This window comes from Homo sapiens, chromosome 8 (genome assembly GCF_000001405.40).
Source record: "Homo sapiens chromosome 8, GRCh38.p14 Primary Assembly".
Lineage (NCBI taxonomy): Eukaryota > Metazoa > Chordata > Mammalia > Primates > Hominidae > Homo > Homo sapiens.
This window is the reverse complement of record NC_000008.11, coordinates 107,980,519-108,006,591: the sequence shown is the minus strand read 5'-3', so window position 1 is coordinate 108,006,591 and position 26,073 is coordinate 107,980,519. Positions and strand designations below refer to the sequence as shown.

At 36.7% G+C, this 26,073-nt stretch overlaps 1 protein-coding gene and 1 pseudogene across 3 annotated transcripts in view, besides 1 other annotated feature; one reads left to right on the top strand and one right to left on the bottom strand.

The window, feature by feature from the left end:
* RSPO2 (R-spondin 2) overlaps nucleotides 1–26,073 on the top strand; it is a 184,305-nt gene that overhangs the window by 77,029 nt on the left and 81,203 nt on the right. For 2 of the 3 annotated variants that reach the window (NM_178565.5, NM_001317942.2), the window contains one exon: nucleotides 17,348–17,536. The exons of the other annotated variant lie outside the window; for it this stretch is intronic. In NM_178565.5, coding sequence (NP_848660.3) covers nucleotides 17,348–17,536 — 189 coding nt within the window. The remainder of the gene's footprint in view (nucleotides 1–17,347; nucleotides 17,537–26,073) is intronic. 3 annotated transcript variants of the gene reach the window in all.
* Nucleotides 1,904–2,471: an enhancer, noted in NCBI's record as "NANOG hESC enhancer chr8:109016349-109016916 (GRCh37/hg19 assembly coordinates)". NCBI's record gives its function as "activates a minimal SCP1, AML or CMV promoter by ChIP-STARR-seq in primed H9 embryonic stem cells {active_cell/tissue: H9 hESC(primed)}" and the evidence as "EXISTENCE:reporter gene assay evidence [ECO:0000049][PMID:30033119]".
* NRBF2P4 (nuclear receptor binding factor 2 pseudogene 4) lies at nucleotides 21,826–23,618 on the bottom strand (annotated as a pseudogene).

Here is a 26,073-nt window from a genome sequence, read left to right as displayed (position 1 = left end):
TATTAAAAAAAATCTATAAAAATGTAAATAATTAGAGCCTTCTTGTCTGTCTTATATTTTAATATCTTCTCCTTAAGCTATGCTTGATCTTTTCCTTTTCACTTTGAAGGTCCCTATTTTTAACAGACCAAAAAACCCCATAGTCTTCCTATCCCTTTCATCTAATATTACATTATAACTTAGTAAGTGAGCTTAATTTTTTAAAATTAAACTTGCTTTAAAAATAATTTTTCATAAATATTAGGAAACTTTAACCTTCACATTTCTTTTGATATTATTTTTTCCCCTGAATATATCCTTTTGTACATGTTGTTTAAAATGTTTGAATTCATCAGAGAACTTCCTATGCAATTGTGTTGAATTCTCTAGAATATCACTCTTCTTTTCCCCTTTGGGATTATGTAAAGATGTTCTTATTTTGTAAATGTCCTTCTAATTTATATTCTAATTTAGAAACTTTGGCCGCAAACACAAACGTGTTTCTTCTGAACTTTTAAAATTATGTTCTTAAAGTATAGGATTATACTTCTAGGATCACAGTTTCTGTATGCTATTCTAAAAAGGCCCATAATAACATTTGATTTCTGTATTAACAGTTCTTCCTTGTATTCAAGTATTGAGTGACTCCTTTCGTTTTTGCTATTTATGTGAAAGATAAATGGCCAATACAATCAGCCAAGGTGTATCAGACATAGTAAACTTTTTATCCTTGCATTCCCCAATCCTGTGCATACATCTGTATGTTTATGTACATGCTGTACCTTGGACTTGGAAATCTTGTTCCATCAGGCAAACTCCTGTATTCTCTTCAAGACCCAAGTAGTGTTACTCCCTATTTCTTAGCTCTTCCAGGATAAATTGCATCTCCTCCTTCTCTACCCCAAAGCACTTGATAGTATGCACATAAAATACAACTTAAAAACTACAATATTTTGGAGAGCTCTTACTGAACAAATCTAGAATAATCTGAGTATTAAACAAAGACAGTAACAGCCTATAGCCCATTGAATAACATTCACGAGTACCTTTCTGTCTGCTTGTTTGACGTAACAAACAAGCAGACAGACAAATGAGGGAGAAGGGAAAGGCCTCCCCAAAACTAGCATGCCCACTAATAAATGGAGAGGAAATGACGGAGTTAAAGAATCACCTTCGACAACCTGACAGTAATAGTTTATTTAGGCAAAAATCATCAATTCTTGGATGCCAAAACCAGTGTGTGAAAATTTGAACAGCAGGATATTTATACAGTTTTACTATGTCACCTCTCAAAATACTTACCAATTACAGAAGAAAAAAATAGCAACTTTATAGTATAGAAACCTAGCAGACACCACCTTAACCAAGTGATCAAAGTTAGCATCACCAGTAATGGGACCAAAATGCATCGTGTGCCTCTTAAGATGATGCACAGAAAAAAACATCACTTCATACATTATCCCCCAAATATATGACCAGTCATGAGGGAACATCAGACAAGCCCAGACAGACATGTTGTAAATCACTGACCTGTTCTCTTAAAAACTGTTAAGCTCATGAAAGAACTCCAGATTAAAGGAGACTTGGAGATATGATTTTCAAACCCATCATATTGGGTTAGATTTCAAACATAATATGATACATTAGCTTAAAAGGGATTCTAATCTAGGAAAAAAATAAAGAACTATAAAGGACATTGTTGGCATAATTATAGAGTGAGGATTAAAAAATAATATATCAAATATGGTTGATGTAAAGCAATGTCTTTGTTTTTGGAAATACATACTGATTACTGAAAAATTTTAGAGGTAAGAGGGCAGAATATCTGTAAATTATACTTAAATGACTCAGAAAATCATATGTATACATTTGTATACACACATATATTACATATGTATAAACCTACATGTCTATATACATATCTGGCTACATATACATACACATATAGTTTTGCCACTTTTTGAGAATGATCAAGTACCATTTACAGTTTTCCATGAATGTAGATGCAGGTTGCTTTTGGCTTCCAAGAATTGGAGAAGATGGAGGAGACTCATGGTCAATAAGCAGTGACAAATTCCTCTCCAAAACTGTTCATTTCATTCCTCTGGCTTTCATGCATTTGTAAAGTCTAGTTTTGATCATTTGAGTGGTATACTCAGGCTTTCTAATTACATAGGTATGCTTGCTGTGTTACTTCAAAGGCCCCTTAGCCAGGGCAGGATCTATCTTCAAAGACAGTGAGGAGAGTGGCCCATTTGCAGGAAATTGCATGGTTTGGGGGTGATTTTTGTTTTCTTTGAACTTGTCAAGTGGAGATCCCTCTGTAAAAAGTGCTGGCCTTTTGCTGAATGCCCAAACAGTAAAAGACTTTCCATTTATAATTCTGAAGATTTCTCTTTAACCTCTGCCAGAGGAAACTTGTAACTCAGTTTCCCCCATTATCCTTTTTGATGGATCAGCAGTTTTACTCTGAAGTGTTTTTGTGGGTGATATCTTAATTTTGTTGGTTTATAGTTCTAGTTGTGTTAGGAAAAATTAGCATAGTATTTTTAGTGACTAATCATCAAAAGGAACTTTGATTATTTTGTTGTAGCTAAAAACGGAGGAAAGGAGCAGCGAACGAATTATGAGGGTATGGCCTAATTTGAAAGAAAGTTCTTGCAATTTAAATTATGGTATAATGCATTTCTTCCCCTAGGTGCTGTACATATATTGTTTAACAGGAAATAAACAGCCAGGATTTTGAAGTTAAAGGTCAGAACTGCATTCAAATTTGTCACAAACTATGATCTTGGAAAGATTTTTTAAAACTCTCTGATCTGTTTATTCACTTTGATAAATGAAAATTATACATCAGAAGCATTACTTTCAAAAAGTGTGAAAACCTGTAGCCTGCAATCTGTCCTGTAGCATGTTCCCCGGGGTTAATTTTTTTTCTTTTTAACCCTTATTTTGACTTTGCTGTTTTTTAATTTCTTCTTATTCATAATAGACAGAACCTTGTTAGAGTAAGGATAGTTAAGCAATTAGATTTCAAATTGGGTCGGTCTAAGGTATGGATTGCTGTGAAGTTAGCAAATCAACAAAGCATGTCAAAATAACCTGCTTATAAATGTTAAATGCAGACCAGTGGTTAGGCCGGGCACGGTGGCTCACACCTGTAATCCCAGCACTTTGGGAGGCTGAGGCCAGAGGATCACCAGAGGTCGGCGGATTACCCAAGGCCAGGAGTTTGAGACCAGCCTGACCAACATGGAGAAACCCCGTCTCTACTTAAAAAAAAAAAAAAAAAAAAAAAAAATATATATATATATATATATATATATATATATATACACACACACACACACACACACACACATACATACATACATATATACACACACATACAAAATTAGCCAGGTGTGATGGTGCATGCCTGTAATCCCAGCTACTTGGGAGGCTGAGGCAGGAGAATTACTTGAACCTGAGAGGCAGAGGTTGTGGTGAGCCGAGATCACACCACTGCACTCCAGCCTGGGCAACAAGAATGAAACTCTGTCTCAAAAAAAAAAAAAAAAATTATTGAGGTCTAAATTCTGTGCAAGTCTGGAGATTCAGTAATCATTCTGATTTTTGTTAACATTTGACTTTTACCAACAGTGAACTACATTGTAGAAAACTGACTTTTTTTGCATGATAGTATAGTATTCCATAATAACATTTGTCAACTTTAGGTGTCTGTTAATATGCTTTTTATTAAGGCAATTAAAAAAATTATCTTTGTTTAAAGAAACCTTTCTCTAAATAGTGTAGTTAACAAGAGTGGCCATTCTCAATTTTAAAACACAGTGGTAAAACCCATGGAAGTTTCCACATTTAAAACACATGGAGTCTTTGATCTGGTTAGTTATGACACTGATTCTTCTTGAGGGCTGTGTTTATGACACCAAATAAGTCATCTAGTTTGTTTCCATTTATTGTTTTTAATATTAAGACAGTGATGTAAGCAGGAGTGACCAACTAGTTTCTATTCTAGGAAGCAGGTGATATATGAGGGATAATTGAATAACTTAAACACGGTGAGAATTATACATTAAATAGAGTCCATCCTACCCCTCTTTTTAAAAAAGCAATTTAATTTTGGATAGGCAGGAGGGGAAGATTTTCCTACAGGCAGTTGGATAGGTCAGACACTATGGCACTTACATTCCATTTCTTAGGAAGTATGCAAAACTGTTTTTAAATTGTGTTAGTATAAGAAGTATTTAAGTACTTTATGGAACAAAAATCTGGCTCTGTTTGTGAGCAGTTTGTTTTCTTCTATTTAAATAATTGGATTATCTCCCTGTATAAACATGGAACCATGTGAGGGTGGTGGTTTTGCAATCTTCATAAATGTATATATTTAGATCTGCTCATGCTGGGGTTACCATTAGCACCAGCAGTCTGTCAACATTTCCACAGGGTCTTTTAAGTATGTTGTGAAAGCTCCAGCCAACACTTGGCATAAGTAATCTGTACAACACAGCAGTTTCAAGCTAAGGCTTATAGGATAGCACGCATGCTAACTTTTTTTTATTATACTTTAAATTCTGGGATACATGTGCAGAATGTGCATGTTTGTTACATAGGTATATATGTGCCATGTTGGTTTGCTGCACCCATCAATCCGTCTTCTAGGTTTTAAGCCCGGCATGCGTTAGGTATTTCTCCTAATGCTATCCCTCTCCTTGCCCCCACCCCCTGCCAGACAGGCCCTGGTGTGTGATGTTCCCCTCTCTGTGTCCATGTGTTTTCCTTGTTCAACACACACATGCTAACTTTAAGCATACTTTTCTTTTGGTGTTGGAAGAAATTTATGGAGTACAATTTTTTTTTTCCCTCACTGATTCAAGCAGGTGGCTTATTTTCTAGAACTTAGGATGTGATTCTTCCCTTGTTTCAAAAACATCATCTCTTTCTGGAAAAATGAGCAACACCCAACCATCCTATGTTTTACTTCTGATTCAACTAATTAATGTTATTGGTGTTAGCAGTTGTACAAATTGAGGAGCTCGTGATTCTGGTAGCATATTTTCCCACTTAAATAGTTCAGTTTTCCGATGCATGTGTTGTGATCCTTAATTGTACACTTTTTTTCATTACCTGTGAGAATTAACGTCTAGTGTAGGGATATGCATTAAGATTTTTGTGTCAAAAGAGTTTCTAGGGGGAAAAAGGGGAGTAATTCTTATAGGGCTTGGTTTCCCAAAGTGTTAATTATGGGAAGGGCTTCATCATTTGGGGAATTGTTTATGCTAAATTGAGGTCTCACGATTTTAATTTCTTATTGGGGCCTATAGATAACTACTTTTTTCTTGTGTTTTGTCTTTTTACTTGATTTGGGGTATTCATGACTGTTTTTGGAAATGTTCCCTGGAGAATTTCTTTCCTTTTTTTGAGACGGAGTCTCGCTCTGTCGCCCAGGCTGGAGTGCAGGGGCGCGATCTTGGCTCACTGCAAGCTCCACCTCCTGGGTTCACGCCATTCTCCTGCCTCAGCCTCCTGAGTAGCTGGGACTACAGGCGCCCGCCACCACGCCTGGCTAATTTTTTTTATTATTTTATTTTTATTTATTTTTATTTTTTTAAGACAGAGTGTCGCTCTTGTCACCCAGGCTGGAGTGCAGTGGTGAGATCTCTGCTCACTGCAAGCTCCACCTCCCTGGTTCAAGCCATTCTCCTGCCTCAGCCTCCTGAGTAGCTGGGACTACAGGCGCCCACCACCACACCTGGTTAATTTTTTTGTATTTTTAGTAGAGACAGGGTTTCACTGTGTTAGCCAGGATCATCTCAATCTCCTAACCTGGTGATCTGCCCACCTTGGCCTCCCAAAGTGCTGGGATTACAGGCATGAGCCACCGTGCCCGGGAGTTCCCTGGAGAATTTCTAAGTCCCACTTATTTCAGTTGAATCCTGTTCTACTTGAGCTTCTCACTCTGACTGGTTCTCAGTTGGCTAGGGCATAGAACTGGCTTGGCAAAGTGCTAAATTTAGCTTTCCTTGAGCCTCTCTCTGTGGTGCTAAGCCTATGATTTAAAAAAACTCAAAAAAAAAACACAAAACTCTCAAAAGTATCTTGCCTTGCTATTGATGTGTCCCCCACAAAAATATTTCTCAAAAGTACCTTTCATTGCCATTGATACACATCAGCAGCTCCTTTGGAATATCTCTGACTCCCCCACCAGATGCACAAGCCACATGTGCTGCTTATGTTTTGGGTGGGAAATGTTGAAGGGACACTGCTTTGTTTCAAGGTAAAATGTATTGAACCAAAGTTATTTTTCTTCTGATGACCACCGTGATTATTTGCTTTGGTCTGTATCCTTTAAATCTCCTCCAGTTTGACAGATTATCTCGAATGTTAATGATGTGTGTAAATTGTTAGAATGAGAATGTGTTTATCATGTTCTGTGCAGGTCCATTGTGCCCTCAAGCAGAACCACCTAAGACTCCACATTTATTTTGCAACCATACCTCAGTTCATCGTCTTTCCTTGAACCGTAGTTATTAAGTATTCTGAGCTGCCCTGTGACGTCTTAATTAAATCAGACTTTGAAGCATTCATGACACATACCTCATAGATCATTCCTGTTTCTTTTGTGCTGTGTTAAATACATATATTTTTCCAGTGACCCATGCTATGGCCATAGTTAATCCAGGTTGTGAATGTCCTTCAGAGGTGCCAATGTATGAGGATTACAACTGGAATGGTGCTGGCACTGGAGAGTATTTAAGGGCTAATAGTTCTGGTAATTTTCTTCATTTTTTTTTTTTGGAAGATATTAGCACTTCATGTGTTAAAAATAGATCTGTGACTCTAACTTTCTCCCCCAATATTTAAAAACTCCTAGGTTTGGTTGGGCACGGTGGCTCATGCCTGTAATTTCAGCACTTTGGGAGGCTGAGGCAGGCGGATCACTTGAGGCCAGAAGTTCGAGACCAGCCTGGCCAACATGACAAAATTTTGTCTCTACTAAAAATACAAAAATTAGCTGGGTGTGGTGGCACAAGCCTGTAGTCCCAACTACTCGGGAGGCTGAGGCACGAGAATCACTTGAACCTTGGAGGTGGAGGTTGCAGTGAGCCAACATAGTGCCACTGCGCTCCAACCTGGGCGACACAGTAAGACTTTGTCTCAAAACAAACAAAAACTCCTAGTTTCTCCTAGCTTTGAGTTTTTGTACAGTGAAATACATATTTTAATAGGAGAAGCCAAATGATCTAAGACCTTTAATCCTGATGTCATTAAAAATATTCATTTGTAGAGATGATTTCCATATTTGAGGGGCTTACAAATGTTTAGAAATACCATTTTCCCAAGGAAATACTCCTAGACAATTATATGTCCAATCTTTTATTCCTAATTGATATGATTTATTAATATTTAAATAATATTGTTAGATAAATTAATATGAGTTTCTCAAAGTTAATGCTTCTCGGGAGGTTAAAGCTTTGTAAACCTTGTACCTAAAAATATCATTCTCTATTAAAGAACTCAAGAAAAGATAAAAAGATTCTGAGAAAATATGGGTTATTTTTATTTTTATGTTTTTGGAGATGGAGTCTTACTGACTGGAGTACAGTGGCGCACGATCCCAACTCACTGCAACTTCTGCTTCCTGGGCGCAAGCAATTCTGTCTCAGCCTCCTGAGTAGCTGGGATTACAGGCATGCGGCACCATGCCCAGCTAATTTTGTATTTTTAGTAGAGACAGGGTTTCACCATGTTAGCCAGGCTGGTCTTGAACACCTGACCTCTAGGTGATCGGCCTGCCTCAGCCTTCCAAAGTGCTGGGATTACAGACGTGAGCCACCATTGCCTGGCCATAAATACAGTTTAATTCTAGGAGTTCTAGAATTTTGAAATTTTTGATACAAGCTTTGATCTTGATTATCAATTTTTTTCTAGATTAAATTTATGTTAATATAGCCCTTCTAAATATTAAAGGAAATTTAGAAATTTACCTTTAAGCTTTATTAACATTTTTAATCATGGTATTTATTTTCTATCCAAGGCATGATGCTTATAATGGTGATGGTCTAGCATTAAAATTTGTTGTCTTTACATTCACAATCGGACTACTGGGTTTGATATTTAAATATTTATAATTTTATATAAAACTAAGCAAAGTATCTTAAGATAGGCATTTTCCATTTTGGTCAAATCTTGTGTGGCACATTAATTCATTACGTTGATTGCTTAATTGAGTTTGAGCTTGGTAGTATACATGATTACAGGATTTTTATACCACTGCTGCCAAGATCTAGTGGGGAGAATGTATCCAACTTGATTTCTATAGCATCCGACATGCAAGTTCCCTGTTATTGGTGCCAGAGTTGGGTTTCCCCCCTACCTCTCTCAATCCTGCTCCTTCTATGGGTTTTTTTTTTTCTTCCTTAAATACATATCTTGAACTTGAGGTTAAGAAGAGGCATACATTAGCAATTTTGTGATATTAATTGATGAAGTTAATATTAATTGTTCATTTAAAAATTTGTTGAACTTGCAACATTATTTGACCAGCAAATACAGAGTGAGGCTAAGATGCCAACAGCCCACTGTTCAGTCTTATTATTTTCAGAATTAGAAATCTGTACCTTTGTCAGGATGGATGCCTTCACCTAGAAGGAATTCAGATTTCTTCTTGCTTGGCAAGGGCTAACTGCAGAAACAACGGAACACATTTTTTTAAAAGTCAGGAGTATATTAGAAACACATGGGCATTCAACACCTACATAAAATACTCTATGAGATAAATGTGAATAACTGGATTTAACAAAGGGCCAGACTTTAGAATACCAGAATTCATAAAAAGGCTAAACTTACTTTATAATTTAAGGGGAACACAAATCAACTAATTAGAATTAATAATAAAGAGTAATACCTATGCTGCTTTTTTCTCTCTTGATATAACTGTTTGTGATTTAGGTAGTGTTACCTTGTTTCAGTCTCATGGTTTTTCTTGTTTGCTAAATCCCTATAATATTCCTTTTCCCATCAAGGGGATATGTGTGGGTTTGTGCTAGAATCACTGTTTATGACTATTTTCAGGATTTTCCATGTTTTATGAGATATATTTCATCTTTAGAATTTTGGGTGGGTCTAGATTTAGAAAACTGTTTTGGTTGGAATGATAAGGCTCTGGATCTCAGCGGGCTTTAGGGTTGGAAAAGTTGAAGCTCACAGAGAGCAAATAAACATGGTCATCAAAGCTGAGAATTAAGATCTGTTTATCCACCTGCACACTTGAATTAAATCTCAGAGCAATGGGCAGAGCCATTCAACTTATGAAGATCCTGACAAAATAAATTACTCTATTCATGTTTAAACGTCTATTTTTTGCCTGTGTTTAGACACAGAGGTTGGTGTAGTGACCATGTGGTAGATGGAGAAGTTCTTGTGGAATTACTAAGCTATTGATTTACAACAGGGAGAATGCCACTAAAATAGTGGACAATGGTGAATTAAATGGAAAAGTCTGTTTGAGGTTTGGGGCAAGAAGCTTCAAATTGTAAAAATCACATGGGCTCTTGTCCTTCAGCACTGAGCAGCATCATGATTGAAGATTGGAGAAAGTGGGGAGAGAGTACTCAGGTTAGGTGTGGTTCACATCACTTTTGCTTTAAGGGAATTCCTCGTGTGTAGGGTTATAAAGATAACCTAAGATATGGACTTGGGTAAGTATTCCCTAATTCATTTTCATTGTTTAAGTCTGTTGAGGTTCAAGTAAATAAAACAATGCTTTTAATAATACCTTTTTTAAAAAATGCAGGGCACAGTTTGTTGACTCTGAGATCTTTGTGGTCAAGATGAAAGTTGGCTCCTGATACATAAAAACAAAACAAAAAGCCTTTAATTTGTGTTGATTCTCTTGGTTCTGTAATTCTCTTTTCTCTATACTTCTTACTGTGGAGCATGATTTATGGTGATAAAGAGCTTTGGTTTAACTTTTGAACTGAAAGTATAGCTTCAACTTTAGCATGTGATGACTGTAGGACAGTGAACCTCCTCCTTAAACCATTCTGCTGTGTACTTGTAAACCTTCCAGAATCTCCTTTTATTTATAAAGCTAGATTTGGGTTGGATATTTCCTTGGGTAATTGCTTGATCTTGGTTTTTCAAATCTGCATATAAATTCTAGAGCAGAAGTTCGTCAGTATGTTTCAGAGGGCTTTGTAGTGTGGGGCTACTTCTGATGTAGCTTCAGCCAGCAACCCTTGCCCTTGCCTTAGTCTCTCAGTTGTTCATGTTAAAGGGGTGGCTTTTTCGTGAAAGAGTCATAAATTGTTTCTCTAAATATCATTCCATAGGGTCTTCATGCTTAAGGTGGGTTACAATCTTGGACAACCCTGAAAATGAACAAGAGTTGGATTCTCTCTAGCTACCTTTTCCTCCACCATAGCCATTTCCTCACACAGCCTGTCAGTATTCCCAGTTTCATTGCTCTTCTCCAGCTTTTCCCATCTCCCTCAATTTTTTACCCTTTCTGGCACAGAGAAGTTAAACGATATCCTAATTTTTTTGAACCTCACTCACTTACACCCTACTCAGGATACTAAGAATGATACCAGAATAAAACCTCTTCAGAAGGCAGCTGGAAAAATTGTAGATAGTATAAGCTTATTTTTGGTCAGCTATGCAAAAATGATTTTCAAATCATAATTATCTGGCAATATTAAGGTGTAACAAAATACCATAGTGAGTATAAAAGCAGGAAAATTGAGCAATAGAATGTAGAGTGAAGTAGGGAGAGGTAGGTCTAGGGTTGGGACTTCATAACTATTCAAATGAGAAGTGATAAAGGCCTGAATTATGAGAAGATTCATGGAAATGACAAAGGTGAGGGTCAGAATCAAATCTGTAGGAGAAGATATTATCATAGAAGCTAGAGGAGGAAGAAAACCTTCAGCAACCTAGGCTATTGGAATTGTGAGGATCAGAAATTGAGAATGAGATCTTGAATGAGGGATGAGAAAACTGGTTGTGGTCTTCATAAAAGCAGTTTTAGAGATAATTCAGCAGAGGATGGTGATAAGTAGAGGCAACAGGTTTAACTGACACTTTGAAGAAATGTGACGGTGACATTGGTTTGGTTCATTGTTATGGAAAGATGCTAACAACTTAGCTGAAATTGAACAAGTTATGACCCAACAGGTACAGTATGATGTGTATGAAAAACACAAATTATATAATGTATACATGCATATATATATAAAGGAGCATTTGGAAAGTCGCTTACCCAGAATTTTATTGGTAACTGTATCTGAGGTGATGATTTTTCATCAGAATTGGTTCCCTAGCTCTGCCCCCCAACAATTGCAGATTTAGGGAAATAAAGTATTAAATGAGAATTATTTGGAAAGCATAGATAGGTTTTCAAGTGAGAGAATGTCCATGAAATAGATTCAACATGCAAATAAAAGAGAACAGTTGATAGAAAAGAGTCCTAGAATAGATGTGAAGAGTAGATCTTTCTGGCCAATTCAAGATGTTATATTGGCCTTGATTCCTGATCCTGAAGGGCCTTGTTTCTTGTTTGGTCCCTTTGGTAGAATAAGCCCTGGTTTTGGGACTTCCTGGATGAGAGGCTGTGGGAAGCTTTGGGGAAGAAGGAAGACTCTCTTGTGGATCTAAAATCTGTGTAGATTTGCTGCAAGTTGCTATAAATATAATGGCCATTAAATTGTTATAATAAAGGAATGACATGGTATACAATGTACTCTGTATAGCTGCCAGTCTGACCACTTATTGCTTGATATTAGTTTTATACACAAGACTGATTATATGGAGGGTAAACAACATGTAGTCTCAAAGCTAAAAGTTTCAATAATTGATGAGTTTTCTATTTCTTCTCTCCTAATTCTTTCTTGGGTTAACTCGATAAAATGAAGTCATTGTGGCCTCATGTATTCTGTTGTATTTATGACCTTGCTTGGCGTAGTGAAAACTAAAAGTTACATGAATTTTTAATATTTTAGAAATTATAATATTTCAGATTGTATCATTTCTACATTTTATACCAGCTATAGGAAAGAGTATTTTGTGTCTTTTCTTTTAAGGTACGATTGTCCCCATCAGATGCAGTGAACTTCATATGGTTCAGGTATTAACTTATCTTAGATGCTATTTCGACATTTGCTTAGTACTGTCTTCTCCCACCATGTCCCATCAGTAGGATATTTCTGTTTGGAAAAAAAAAGTAAATAATATCTTACTGGTGAGTAATATAATTTATGGAATCTTCAAAAGAGGTGTAATTGTAAGTAAGTACATTGTACTGAAATTAGCACATAGCCTTTATATGCTTTACTTTTTCTAATGAGATATAATTTACTTGTAAATTATGCATATTAATTGTAAAAATGTACAAATATACTTAGATAAATGCATAGTTTTGGGTTTTGCAAATGTATACATTTGTGTAACCAAAATCCAGGCAAGATATAGCACATTTCCATCAACCCCTTTAGCGAATTGACTAGTGCACAGGGTAAACTTGTGTCATGGGGGTTTTCTGTTTTATTTTCTCCAATATTCACCCCATGACCCCAACTCATATCCTCCTGGAAACTTAGAAGGTGACCTTTTTTGGAAACAGGGTCTTTGCAGATGCAACGAAGATGATGAAGATGAGATTCTATGGGATTATGGGATAAAGATGGGCCTTAAATCCAATTAGAGTGTCAATGTAAGAGACAGAAAAAGACACAGAGATACAAGAGAAGAAGGCATAAGACAATGGAGGCAGGGATTGACTTCATGTAACTATGAGCCAAAGAATGCCTTGGGCTACCAAAGACTGAAAGAAGCAAGAAAGGATTTGCCAGAGTCCTTGAGAGGAAGCACGCCCTGCTGATACGATATTGGGATTTCAGACTTCTAGTCTCTAGAATTGTGATAATAAATTCCTGTTGTTTAAGCCACCAAATTGTGGTCATTTGTTACAGCAGCCCAAGGAAACTAATATACCTCCTCCATCCCCCGCAAATTCTATTATGCCCCTTTCCAGTCAGTCCTCAATCCTCAAAGGCATGTAGTAGTCTTATTTCTATCACCACAGATTAGCCGTGCCTGCCTTTGACCCTAATATAAATGAAATTATCTAGAGCATGCTCTTTTTTGTATCTGTTTGGATTCTTTTGACCAGCATAATGTATGTGAATTTCATTCATGTCATGTGTATCTGTATTATCCTTTTTATTACTGAGTAAAACTCAAATAGTTTGAATATACCGTAATTTGTCTATTCTGTTCATAGATATTCGGATTGTTTCTTCCTACCCATATTTTATACATATATTACATCTTTTGTAGCTGTCACTGGTTTAGAAGTTATAGATTCTGTTATTGTTTTTGTAGTTAGGAACTTAAAGTTATAGTAATTACATTTTAATTTACATTAGTCTTCCTCACTGATAATGCGGAAACTCTGAATGCTTTAAGTTTGGCTTCCTTCTCAAGTCTTCTGTGTTATTTTTGTGAATATAAGATATTTAGTTTCAAAACTTGAAAATCATTATATGTTTTTTACATGCTATGCTTTTGTATAGAGACATGAACATGTTTTTCAATTGGTGTGATCACTATAGCTTGTTGCATTCTACTTCCTCTGGGTTCTGTTTTATTTTCTCCAATATTCAGAGTTTAATCTTTTAGTTAATGCTTTAAAAAAAATTAAGATATTTGCCTTTACTTTGGCTAAAATATCTTCATTTTGCTCACCTGGTTAAACTATAACTGCTTATAGAATTATAGTTTGATAATTTTTCCTCAACATGTTGAAGATAGTATCTCGGCTATCTAATCTTTATTTTTTTCTAAGTCTGCTGTCAGTCAAAGTTTTATCCTTATCTAGATAATCTGCTATTCCTCTCTGGCTTGACTTTATTCTCATGGCATGTAAATGTACTGCATTTAGATGTAGACTTGTTTGGTCTCTTAATTTTTAATCTAAGAACTCATGTCTTTATCTGGAAATTAATCAGCCATTATCTCTTTGAACAGTGTGTTTTATTCCTTTTTTAACATATACTTTTAAGTTCACGGGTACAAGTGCAGGTTTGTTACATAGGTAAACTTGTGTCATGGGGGTTTTCTGTACAGATAATTTCATCACCCAGGTATTAAGGCTAGTACCCATTAGTTATTTTTCCTCATCCTCATCTTCCTCCCATCCTCTGCCCTCCAATAGGCACCAGGGTCTGTTGTTTCCCTCTATGTGTCCATGTGTTCTCATCATTAAGCTCCCACTTATAAGTGAAAACACGGGGTATTTTGTTTTCTGTTTCTGTGTTAGTTTGCTAAGGATAATGGCCTCCAGCTCCATCCATGTCCCTGCAAAGGACATGATCTCATTCTTTTTTATGGCTGTATAGTATTCCATGGTGTGTGTGTGTGTGTGTGTGTGTGTGTGTATCACATTTTCTTTATCCAGTCAGTTGTTGATGGGTACCTAAGTTGATTCCATGTCTTTGCTATTGAGAATAGTGCTGCAATGAACATATGTGTGTATGTGTCTTTATAATAGAAGGATTTATATTCCTCTGGGTATATACCCCGTAATGGGATTACTGGGTTGAATGGTTTTTCCATCTTTAGGTTTTTGTGGAATTGCCACACTGTCTTCCATAATGGTTGAACTAATGTACACTATCACAAACAGTATATAAGCGTTTCTTTTTCTCCACAACCTCTCAGCATCTGTTATTTTTTGACTTTTTAATAATAGCTATTCTGACTGGTGGGAGATGGTATCTCATTGTGATTTCTTATTTGCATTTCTTTAATATTCAGTGATGTTGAGTTTTTTCATATGATTGTTGGCCACGTGTGTGTCTTCCTTTGAGAAGTGTCTGTTCATGTCCTTTGCCTGCTTGTTAATGATTTTTTTCCTTGTGAATTTAAGATCTTTATAGATGCTAAATATTAGACCTTTGTCAGATGCATAGTTTGCAAATATTTTCTCCCATTCTGTAGGTTGCCTGTTCAGTCTGATGATATTTTCTTTTGCTGTACAGAAGCTCTTTAATTAGATCCCACTTATCAATTTTTGCTTTTGTTGCAATTGCTTTTGGCATCTTTATCATGAAATCTTTGCCTGTGCCTATGTCCTAAATGGTATTACCTAGGTTTTCTTCCAGGGTTTTTATAGTTCTGGGTTTTACCTTTAAGTCTTTGATGCATCTTGAGTTAATTTTTATATATAGCATAAGGAAGGGGTCCAGTTTCAATCTTTTGCATATAGCTAGCCAGTTATCCCAGCATCATTTATTGAATAGTGAATCTTTTCCCCATTGCGTGTGTGTGTGTGTGTGTGTGTGTGTGTGTGTGTGTGTGTGTTTGAGATGGAGTTTCACTCCTGTTGCCCAGGCTGGAGTGCAATGGCACAATCTTGGTTCACCACAACCTCTGCCTTCCAGGTTCAGGCAGTTCTCCTGGCTTAGACTCCCAAGTAGCTGGGATTATAGGCATTCGCTACCATGCCCAGCTAATTTTGTGTTTTGTTTATTTATTTATTTTTTGTAGAGATAGGGTTTCTCCGTGTTGGTCAGGCTGATCCCAAACTCCCGACCTCAGGTTATCTGCCTGCCTCGGCCTCCCAAAGTGCTGGGATTACAGGCGTGAGCCACCGCACCCAGCCCCTCATTGCTTGTTTTGGTCAGGTTTGTCAAAGATCAGACAGTTGTAGATGTGTGGTCTTATTTCTGGATACTCTATTCTGTTCCATTAGCCTGTCTGTTCTTGTATCAGTACCATGCTGTTTTGGCTACTGTAGCTCTGTAGTATAGTTTGAAGTCAGGTAGCATGATGCCTCCAGCTTTGTTATTTTTGCTTATTATTGCCTTGGCTATTTGGGCTTTTTTTTGGTTCCATGTGAATTTTAACATAGTTTTTTCCAGTTCTGTGAAAAATGTCAATGGTAGTTTAATGGAAATAGCATTGAATCGATAAATTGCTTTGGGCAGTATGGCTATTTTAATAATATTGATTCTTCTATCCATGAGCATGGAAGGTTTTTCCATTTGTTTGTGTTATCTCTGATTTCTTGGGTAGTGTTTTGTTGTTCTCCTTATAGAGATCTTTCATCTCCTTAGTTACCTGTATTCCTAGGTATTTTATTATTTTTGCAGCAATTGTGAATGAGAGTTTGTTTGTGATTTGACTCTTGGCTTGACTGCTGTTGGTGTGTAGGAGTGCTAGTGAGTTTTGCATGTTGATTTTGTATCCTGAGACTTTGCTGAAGTTGCGTCTCATTTTAAGGTGTGTTTTATTCATTCTCTTTACTCTTTCCTTCTGTAGTAACTACTAATCATGTATTGGAACGTTTCTGTTTTTTTCTTACATGCTTAGTACCTTTTTATCTTGTTTTGTGCTACAGTTATTTAAAAGTGTTTTTGGTTATGTCATTCTCTTCTACCATTCAATTTGTCCATAGAATTTTTTGTTAAGTTTTAGAATTTTCATTTCATTGTAATGTGCACATTCTTGCTTTTTCCCATGTGATTTCTAGTTATCCCTTTATCTCTTCAGATATTCTGTAGATATTCATTTTAAAGACTCCTTTAGAATGTCCTTATTTCTGGTTTTTTAGGTGTGAAGTTTTCTTGTTACTGATATTGTTGACTGTTCCTCATGAAGGTTTACTTGCTCATATGATTTGTTCATCTTGATGTTAAGGTAGCATTTCATGAAAGTCTAGGTCTCAGGATTGTAGAAAATATCTAGAGAGTAATTCTATATTTATTTATTTTTTCTTTCTGGGTTTTCCTGGATCTGGACAAATTCTTATTTTAACTTGTCAACATCATATAGCCCCCATGCTACAATGATAATTTTGATTTGGATCCCAGCCTTGTGGACTTGGTGTTCTGATGTCTCATGAATTATATTTTCTCTTGTGCTTACCTGCTGTGTGCTCCCAAGCTAGGGTCAGAATCCCCTGCTCTAGCCAGTTAGGGCAGGGGGTCATGGACAAACAGCCCCATTTACTCCATCTACATAAAGGGAGCTAAGTGCTAGATCTTCACATAAATATTTCTTGGCCTGGGTTGAGGACCTTGCCCTAAGTTCTACCTCTGTCTGGTCTGACATCCCCATGAGCCATTCAGCTTTAGCTTCTGGCCTCAACTCTGCCTCTGAGTTTCCTCTTTGTTTCTAAGTTTGGTTGTGTATTAACAACTTTTTGGGTGGAGGAGGTAGAGGGAAGAAGGGGAGGGATATTTTATTTAGTATTTCTATGTGAGTATAGCAGAAAGAAAAGAAACATTTGTCTTTTCAGCAGGTGTATTTACCAAAAATCTGATTATACTGATAATTAAACACAATTTTTGTTTTTCTTTTACAGCTAGTTATGTATCAAATCCCATTTGCAAGGGTTGTTTGTCTTGTTCAAAGGACAATGGGTGTAGCCGATGTCAACAGAAGTTGTTCTTCTTCCTTCGAAGAGAAGGGATGCGCCAGTATGGAGAGTGCCTGCATTCCTGCCCATCCGGGTACTATGGACACCGAGCCCCAGATATGAACAGATGTGCAAGTGAGCATTTGGTTTTGTCTATCCTGTATTGCTGGATATGCAACTTAGGAGAGGAGCTAAGTTGAAGATTTTGAATGATTTTTTTAAAAAAAATGTGTTTGTAATAGGTGATAGAAATAGTTTAAGCTTGCTGGGTGTGGTGGGTCATGCCTGTAATCCCAGCACTTTGGGAGGCCAAGGTAGGTGGATCACTTGAGGCCAGGAGTTGGAGACCAGTCTGGCCAACATGAGGAAACCCCATCTCTACTAAAAATACAAAAATTAGCCAGGCATGGTGGTGCACACCTGTAATCCCAGCTACTGGGATAGCTGAGGCACCAGAATCACTTGAACCTGGGAGGCGGAGGTTGCAGTGAGCTGAGATAGCACCGCTGTGCTCTAGCCTGGGCAACACAGTGAGATGTCATCTCAAAAAAAAAGAGTCTAAGCTCAAACTTGGAAAAAATGAGTATGGTAGGATAAGAGCACTTTTACTTTATATTTTGTATAGAGCTGTAAGACACAATTCCACATACACACTTTATTTTAGATTATGTAAGTAGTTTTTTAATCACAACGATCTCAAGTACAATCTTGTTTGACAGATTTTTGTAACGAGTACCTACTCAGTGCTTATAAAAAAAAAAAAACCACAAAGGAATTTAAGTACTTTATGCTGAGAACAATCTCTCTGGTTTACCAATTTCTATAGCTTCTTTTTCTCTTTTTATCTGAGTTGGTAATCCTTCATTAGTCTAACCTGCAATTAAATATATGGTAAAGGTGTTTTTTTTTAAGTACCATTACTAATATAACTAAAATGTTTAGGTTATTTTAAAGTAATCTGAATTATAAGTTTAACAACTATTTAAAAACGTTTAAGGAATGGCATTTTGTACATAGTAATGAGGGTGCAATTTTTCATCTTTTAATCCAAAAATCACTTACAGAATGAGTCTCGTCTTCTAGGTCAGCCATAGAAATTGTGGTTTAAAAAAATAGATACCAAAGGAACATCCCTTTCTTTAAGGAACTCAAATTTTAGGGGATAGAAAGGATAAGAAAAAGGGGACCACAGAATAAAATGACAAAAGGTAAGCAGGTTATTCATAATTTAATATATTAAGGGCTGTGTCAGTAATCATTAAATCACTCATATATATATGAGATAATTAAATCTCATATTTATGAGAGTGATTTAATGATCTCCCATTAACACACTGTGTATGTGTCTATTCAGGCAAGACAGTCTTTAGATGAGAAGAGTTTGAATTACATCAACCAAGGACAATATTATTTTGGAAGGTGGCAGAACTAGTGGGGGCTGGTTAAATAAATTCTAGAAAGAAGGAACCACATATATGTAAAAATAATGTATTTGGGGAACAAGAACTCTCACCTGGAGTGTTATTTGGCATTTTGGCAATGCAGTTCTCTGTTTCATGGGACCTGTCCTACATTGCTGGACATTTAGTGTCCTTGGTCCCTGCCCATTAAATGTCCTTTGTGTCTTCACTACTGTTATAAGCAAACATGTCCCCAAACATTTTTAAACACTTCGTGGAAGAGCAGTACAGTAGCTGGATGAAAACCATTGAAGAGCATGTGCCTAGTGGGAGGTGTGGTTGGAATTGAGGAAGGAAAGGGAGGCTGCAGTGCAACTGATAAAGGTGTTTCCTGCTAGGCTAAGAAGTCTTGGTATTATCTAAGGGTACTGAGTAGGCAGTGAACTAAAGAGATTGCTTTAAGATAATTCTAGCAGAAGTGAGGGAGATGAATTGGAGAGGAACAAAAAGTAAAGGAAGGCTATTATAATGATTGCAGATTAGAAAACTTGTTCTGATGATTTTTTTTGTGGGTAATAAATTGCGGAGGCTTTAAAAATAGAACCAGTGGGGCCTGGTAACTAACTGGACAGAGCTAAGAGAAAGAATCAAACTTGATCCTAAGGTCTTCTAGCTAAAGTACTGGATGATGTTACGTCGTTAGCAGAGTTAGAAATATTTAGGCTTAGAGGAAACTTGGATCTACCTTCATTTCATGGAATTGTTTGGATTAATATTTAAAGGAAACAACTCCCCACCAGTTGTAGACTGGCTTGCAAATATGTTTGCAAATATGAATTTTGTTCTTAAGGCATATGATTTAGGCTACTTGATAATTTATTTCTCATAGTTTATAAACTTCCAGAGGAAGATATGTTCCACCTTGGAAAGGATTCCTGTTCAGATTTCTTTAGACTACCTATGGCGGGGGTGGTGGTTTGAGTCCACAGTTTTATGTGTTTCATTCCAGACTATTAGCGCACAAGGAAGACAAGGCAAGAGTGTAGATGGATAGAAACATTTATTCCAAGTTCTAGGGCTAGCATTGTATGTACTTATATGGACAATAGGGTGGCCGTATAATGTATTACTCAATGTGGGACACTGGGAAATGAGAGGGGCTGCCATTAACAACTATGCAGGGATATTGGATGTAAACCAGGACCATCCTATGCAAACTGGTATGAATGGTCACCTGAGCAATACTTTGTAGTATATCAATGGAGTCTTCCTTAGATACTCTCAGGCAGGAGTTAATAGCACATTTTGGCTTAGTTTTCTCAGAAATGGAAAGGAGAGCAGTGACTGTAAATCAGCCTTAGAAAGAAAATCTGCATATGAGAAAGGGTTTGCTATGGATAGACTTCTTGTAAGTGAATACAATCAATGTTGGAGTTTACTGACCTAGAGAAAATCATTACCTGGTACAAGCAGGAAGTGCTATTAACAAGACCCCATTAGAGCAAAGTGAAAAATGGAAAATTATTTCTTAACAGTATACGACTTTGGATAATCATGTTTCTTTCATGCCAATTATTTGCTCTTTTTCATGACTAGTTTGCATATATTGCATTGATATTTGTATTTTATTCAGGGGATGAGAAAGATTTAAATTGGAAAAGCTGTCACAGACTTAGAATTTGAAATGATATCCACTTTTCTCTTCCTTAAAAGATTATCGCTCAATAGTAGAGAAGAAAATTATACTTTTAGCAATAGTAGCCTAAAAAATCTTGTAAGTGAAACTTGAAACTTGCTCATCTGTTTCCTAATCACTAGAGTATGATTTCCAATGTAAAGCAATATCCTTCTTTTGAAGGAAGATTTGCTCTCTGAAAAGTTGTCTGAGGTTGGCTTCTTGGTGCAGACAGTATGAAGCTTATGCAGTTCAACCATACTTATGGAAACCAATCCAACAACTATCTGAGTAATTCTGTGATACATGTACTAACAGACACTAGAAGCTGCCATTGTCCCTGATACTATGTTAGATGTTAATTCACTCATATTTTTTCTCATTCATTAATGAAATCATTTACATAAAACTTTATTCTTTAAATTGTTCTAAATAGTCCTTGTAGAAAACTTAGAAAAGTACACAGGCCTAAAAAAAGCAAAAGCAAACACTTCTCTCAAAGATAACAACAGTTAAAAGATAACAAAAACCATTTTGTCTTCTGTTCTTGACATTTTTGTTTCTATGAGTATTTGTCGTTATCCTCACCTTACAAATGTGTCATTGTGTTTTGTAACTTGTTTAATGAATTATGAACATATTTTCATGCCATTAAATACGGTTGCAAATATTCTACTGAATGGTTATACTATAGTTAATTGCCTATTGAAATTCACTTTTAGTTTTTCATGATTATAAGCAGTTCTATGAAAAATATCCTTATATATAAATTCTTGCTCTCTCATACACATATTTTTACACACTTGCATGGTTTATTTTTATAAGATAAATGTTTAAACATAATACATGTTTTAAAGATATATATTGCCAAATGGATTTCTAGAAAAGTTTTATCAGTTTACATCTTCACTAACAGTGGTCATTTTCACTTGCATCTCTCTGGCTATTAATAACAAGTATAAAACTTCATTTTTGTCTTAATATGCTTTTTCTTTGACACAAATGAAGCTGAACACATATTTGTCACTTGAATATTGGCATTATAGGATGTTTACCAGAGTCACTGCTCCCCTTTTTTCTATTTGCACAACTGTCATGTTTTTAGTAATTAAAAAATAAACTTTTTGAAGTATCATGCAGAATTCTAAATTCACAAATAATAAATGGAGTGTTTAATGAACTATTACAAAGTAGATACATTTAACTCCCACTGATGTCAAGAAAGAATGTTAGTACTACCCACTCACTAACTTCCCATTCACTACTGTCTTCTCCTTTGGCATAACTACCATCCTGACTTGTAAACAAAACACATATAAAACATTATTCATGGCAACACTATTTTTTTAAAAACATAATTACTTTATTGATTTCTTACAATCAAATACCACCAACTAGCATTACTTCCACTCTTGCATCATTAAAAACAAAGGGTATTTCCTCCTTGGTATTTTCAAATGATGCATTATACAATAAACAAAGTTAGAACTTGAAACGCACCCTGATTAATTATGTAAACTGGTAATTTGTTTAAAAAAGCATAATAATTTGGTTCCTTTCTTCATAAAATGGAAATTTAAATATTTCTTCTGATAGTCTTGAGGTTATCATTATGAGTAGTGCAAAGTGTGGCACATATAGTTTCATCTAGAAGGGTGTGGATCTTACCTTAAACAAACAAAATGTGCATTAACAAAGTGCATACAGTTAATGCATGATAGAAAGCATGTTTCAAATATAAAGCAGCCCCTCCGGCCACCATATTATTTAGGTTTTGCATTATCATTTATGGCATTATAGATTAATTACACATAACTTTTATACATTTTAAACCTGAAGATAAGAAAAATAACTGTTGCTTGGAAGAAATTATTCCAGGTAGCCATTTGGTTTGGATCAGGAGAAACTGAACCTCCATGAGTTTAGCGTCTGCCAAGTCAGAATCATTAGCTCAAGTGAGTGAATGAGATATGCTGCGCATTTCACAGTGACTGTTTCCCAAGTCCTGGCAATGCCTCTGCTCCCACAGTCCACCAGATGAAGCATTTCCGGGATGACCCTTCTATGTGGTTTTCCCTTTTCTTTTTGCTGGATTAACGATTACTGTATTATTTCCTCTTTTCCCCTTTTGGTGGCCTTCTATTTCAATTATTCATAAATCCTTTCAGAATATCCTCAGAGAGCTCCATAAGAGGAAGTTCTGTAGATGGAAAATCCAAGGGCGGAAGACAGGAATGTCCTTGGCTTTCCCAGTATTTGCTGCAAACTTCTGCCAGGTTGAGGAGGCTGTAGCAGTTTCTGAATGTGGTGGCAAGCTCCATAACTCTGATGTTTCTACAAAATCAGCATCTACATCCAGCTCCTTTTCTATTGGACCTTTTAGAAGTCTGGCCTTTTCAGCCTTTAGTTGTTATTTTCTTCCCTTAATCTTTAATTCTCTGCCACAAGGAATTCCACATGCCTCTTCAAATCTGCAATTTTGGTTGCCTGCTCCTCTATAATTGTTTTATCGTCTTTTGGGGCTTTACTTCCAATACATGGCTCTGCTGGCTCACTCTTTTGCTGAAGTAAATATAGTAGTGTGTCTGGATCCCTGTCAAAGATCCCCTGAATCTCAGGCAGACATTTCTCTGTGGAAGGGCTGTACTTCTGAGAAAGGGGACTCTGGCCCTCTGCATCCTCTACAGAGGGTTTGTGAGATGCCTGAAGATGGGCAGCTACATCCTTGTCTGTGTTCTGCTGGGCTTTCAATCTTGCTTCACCCTGGGCCCTTTTCCATCTCTCTTGGATGAGGAGGAGCTGTTTCATATGGCTATCCCTTTGCAATTCCAGTGAAAGATGAGCCTGCTCAGACTGTGTCAGCTTCATAGCTTCAGAAAGATACGCTGCAGCCTTTTTGTGACAAGAAATAGCCTCTTCGTATTTGCCTACAGCTAATAAACGGTCTGCTCATCTGCTCTGTTGATGAGCCAGGTTGAGGGGTCCTTCATTACTTCCATAGACCCTGGGGTAAGCGGCGGCCTTAGGAAGGGGAGTAGTGGTGCCAGGGAACATGGAGGGGACTGCAGGGGAGCGTGACACAGCCGCAGAGACTGTGGCCCCTCTCTGCACCCCAGGAGCCAGTCGTAGGCGCTGAGGGAGCCAACACTATTTATACTAATTACAAGTTGGAAACAACTCAAATGTCCAAACAATACAATACCTAAAAAATATAGTATATTAATATTGACATTTAACAGAAAGCAAGGAAAAGCCAGTGGAGGAGGCTGTGACTAAGTCACTAGGAAAGCAGAGAGGATGATGTCCCAGAAGCAGAATGGGAAGGCTTGCGGAGAAGTAAGTGGTCAATGTCAGCGTTGCACTGTTTAAACAATAGAGTTGTTGACCTTCATATGAGCCATTTCATTGTTTTTGTTGGGTCGCTATTCTGATTGCTATGGTTTTGGGGAGTACATGGAGTCATAGGAAAGCAGCCAGTGATTATATACACTCATTCTCTTCTTCCTCTAAGTGTATTTAAAAAGAGAATCTGATAACTGGAAGGCTCACACAGATGGGGAAGTTGGGGTGTGTGTGTCTGTGAGTGACAGGAGACATAACTAGGAAAGAGCCAGCTGAGGAGGAAAGACAAAAAATAATGAAGAAACAAGATCACTGAAGGGACAGAAGAGGATAGAGTCCAAAACATAGGTGGGAAAATTAGCCTTGGACAAACATTTATTCAGCAATTTATGAAGTATCTACCTCATGTCAATCAAGGTTAAGGATTCTTTTTTGTCATGTACCAGGAAGGTATCAGAAATATGCTGAAATTAAGGAAAAAGGAGGAGTAAACTTTTTTAACCTCCAAATTTATGTATAAGAAAACAATATACTTTGCCAGAAATAGTACTTTGGAAAATCATCTGTAAACAAATACAGAAATGAGATATTTTATAATTTTAGATCCATGAATTTGCTACATTTTAACTATTTCTGCTACATTTTATGATTCTACCCTTGTTTTGACATTTTGTGAAATATGTATTTAGGCTAGGAGAACACTACATTTTGTTTCCTTTTTTTTCTTCTTTCTTTCCTTCCTTTTTTTTTTTTTTTTTTTTTTTGTTGTTGTTGTTGTTGCACAGTCATAGCTCAATGAAGCCTCAATCCCTTCTGTGCTGAAGGGATCCTCCCACTACAGCCTCCCCAGTAGCTGGGACTACAGTCGTGTGCCACTATAGCCAGCTAATTTTTTAAAAAATGTATTATTAGAGATGCCTGGCTGTTATTTATTTATTTAAATATTTTTAGAGATGAAGTCTTGCCATGTTGGCTGGTTTCTAACTCCTGGCCTGAAACAATCCTCCCACTTCAGCCTCGCAAGTAGTTGAGATTATGGGTGTGAGCTGCTACATTTTGCTTTTCAAATGAAATGACACAGGTTTTAAAAACTAGTAATTTTTAACATATAAGAAAATCCAAAGTTAAATATCATCTTTTAATTTGTGAACTCCAAGATCACTATTTAGGTGTTTTTAAAGAATTACTACATGTCATCAAGTTTGAATGCCTTTAGAAACACCTGTTTTCTTGTCTTTCTTTCTTTCTTTTTTCTGAGACAGCCTCACTTTGTCTCCCAGGCTGGAGTGCAGTGGTTTGGTCTCAGCTCACTGTAACCTCCGCTTCCTGGGTTCAAGTAATTCTCGTGCCTCAGTGCACCAAGTAGCTGGGACTACAGGCGCACGCCACGATGCCTGGCTAAGTTTTTTGTATTTTTAATGGAGATGAAGTTTTGCCATGTTGCCCAGGCCAGTCTCGAACTCCTAAGCTCAGGAAATCCCCCCATCTTGGCCTCCCAAAGTGCTAAGATTACAGTCATGAGCCACTGAGCCCAGCCTGTCATTCTTGAATAATGTAATTTAATGATGCATTTGGGGAAAAAAAAAGTCTAGGTATTTAAAATTAACATAAATATGTTTGAAATGTCCAAATCTGGACAACTGTGGACACACATATAATTATTCTAAGTACCATAAATTCTATATAATGTGTTTGAAGATCTATAAAGATACAGACTTCCAAATATATTGATGTAACCCCAGTATGTTTGGGATTACTGAGAAATAAAATTAAAAATAACAAATGTCTTCGTTTGGAGGATACTTAGACCATTAGGTTGGAGACCATCAGGTTGCATATGAAACTGATACAGAATTAGACAACAGTATTAGATAGCATCATTACATAAAGTGGTGCTGAACCCCAGTGGGCCAATGGGGTTAGTATTTTGCACAGTTATAGAAGGGATCACAGAAGGGACAAGTTAGTGGTTAGGTTAGAACAGTCATGAAAAATTGCAGGGCTCAGGTGTATCCTTCCCTTCCTTCACCATCTAACCTGGGTGGCGAGGCTGTTAAGAGTTAGGGGCATTCTAGGTTTAGAGGAAATGCATGAGCATGAGGGGTGAAAGGACCAGTGACAAGACCTGATAGAAGACCTGGAGATAAGTGATTGATGTTGACCAACTAAAGGTAATAGGATTCAAATTCAGGGACTGTATTCTGATTACACTTAAACCAGAAATGCTCTAAATCATGTATTAGAGTTATTTTACT